Below are 2,093 nucleotides of genomic sequence, written 5' to 3' on the forward strand. Positions count from 1 at the left end.
GCCTGATAGCTTCTAAGTATAGAGAATTGTCTCACAGTTTCTATAGAAAATTCTCTTATTTATACACCCTGGAATTTCAACCTCATTTTAAACAACAGCACTGTTATGCACTTGCTAACCTGTACCAACTGCCTTTCTAAACATTTCTTCACTGTTATTTTTATAATAATGTTTTTACCTAAGTCAGCATTTACATAACTGAAAACATTTACTGAAGCAGTGGCTTTCTAAAGCTATACTTACAGAGATAAATTCAGTTTGGACTCAAGGAGAGACAAATTCATAGAGATAAATTTATTGGACTTGAGGAGATCTAAAAGAGGTCATATAGATCATCCTCCTGTTTCTAGGCAACCCAAAAAAAGATAACCATCTTGTTTCAGAAATCTCTCCATAAAAGGAAGTTCCACAGTCTTTTCTCCAGCAACCTTTTCTTGTGTCTAATTACCATTACAGTTAGGAACTTCTTGTTCTAATCTCTCTGGACATGTAGAACAGCTGGTAACCACACTCCTTATAATGACTGTTCATAAATCTTCAGATCTGTTTAAGTCATATTCATTATCTTTCTCCAGACCAACTGTATTCCATGTTTAGTAGTTAATTTTATATATTTTCAATATTCAACGACCAGGTTTGTTGCATATTCATTAATGATTTCAATTTCCCGACTTCTTATGTATTTAGAAGAAATAAATACAAATTTAAGACGAATTAAGATGATACAAGTGCCATGAAAATCAATTGTTTTCCTAATTATCTGTCTTTTTAGTGACTCAAATATACAAGGTCACATTCACAAACTGTTTAAGGAAGGCAACTGTATATGCTCATCCTGATAACTGTATTCACTTCTTTTCTACAGTACTCCTTCTGCAAAGGATCTGAGTTGCAAACAAATATGGTCAATGTGACACTGGGATTTACCACTTCTCCTATGCTCTCTTTAGATTTTGAGTAAGTAATCAGTAAGTTAAAATAAGATGGCTTCATTCCAATATTATCCAATCTGATCTTGAATATGCATTTAAGAGACACTATACTTTTAGTTTACCTCTCTGTACAATAAAATTTTATCATTTTTGTGCTTTCTATTTTTGTCAATATTGTAACTTTTTACACATAATAATCATTGTAGCCTATTATCAGCTCTTCATAGAAGTTATTACATTGACAGCCACATCTCAGCTTAAACAAATATTATTTTTGGGGGGCTTGGTATCAACACCATCCATTTCTCATATTAACTCTGAACAAGAGAGCAAAATACTAAAATTCAGTCTATCATGGTTCTTTTTTTTTCTGTAATCAGATACTAACATTCTCATCAATATGAGACAGGGAAAAAAGCATAACAAAATTAATACTGTATTTTTGCTTAGGCACAGGATTAGGATTTACAATTCTAAAGTTCAAATCCTTCTTTCAAAATAGAAAGTTGCAAGTGATATCAGCAAGATGAGATAGGAGTTCTCTACCTTGACTTCCCTGTTCCCCTCCATTTACGTGCAAAACTAACTAGCAGTTATCCACATGAGAGAACATGTTCACGAATACCCAAGAACTCAGGAGTAAGGCTGAGATATTATCTTGGATTTTAGAACAGATAAAAGGTGCATGCTAAAGGTAAGAGGAACTGTTTCTCTTTGACTGCATTACCCATCCCACAAGCCAGCACAGTGCCACATACAGAGGATTTCCCTGGGCTCAGACTTTTTACTCTGGGAAATGAAAGTTGGAGGCAGACATTCAGCTTCCCCATCATTCTGAAACTCTTCACAGGAGGCTCACTGCTGTCTCATTCTACAGGAAACATAGGGAGCACCAGCAGGACTATAACATCAGTTATAAAAAAATAATGGGAATGGAGCTAATGGGAATGGAGCTCATAGTATCCAGAGCATTAATATTGATGGTTGCTCTGCATTCCCACTAACAGAGAAGCCATATAAGAGAGACTAGCGAAAAGCCTCATGCTGCAGGAAGAGTGATCCATAGATCTGCCAGGTTCAAGTCACTAGCCAGCTTTTCCATAAGCTGAAGTACTCTCTTTAAGCTTCCCTCTGACCAGGAAAAATATCAGATCATTATTT

General features: G+C 35.3%; 1 annotated feature.

Annotated features, from left to right (window-relative positions):
• Positions 354-554: a silencer, noted in NCBI's record as "peak1388 fragment used in MPRA reporter construct". NCBI's record gives its function as "represses an SCP1 promoter by STARR-seq MPRAs in K562 erythroleukemia cells {active_cell/tissue: K562}" and the evidence as "EXISTENCE:reporter gene assay evidence [ECO:0000049][PMID:32103011]".

Source organism: Homo sapiens, chromosome 11, assembly GCF_000001405.40.
Source record: "Homo sapiens chromosome 11, GRCh38.p14 Primary Assembly".
Lineage (NCBI taxonomy): Eukaryota > Metazoa > Chordata > Mammalia > Primates > Hominidae > Homo > Homo sapiens.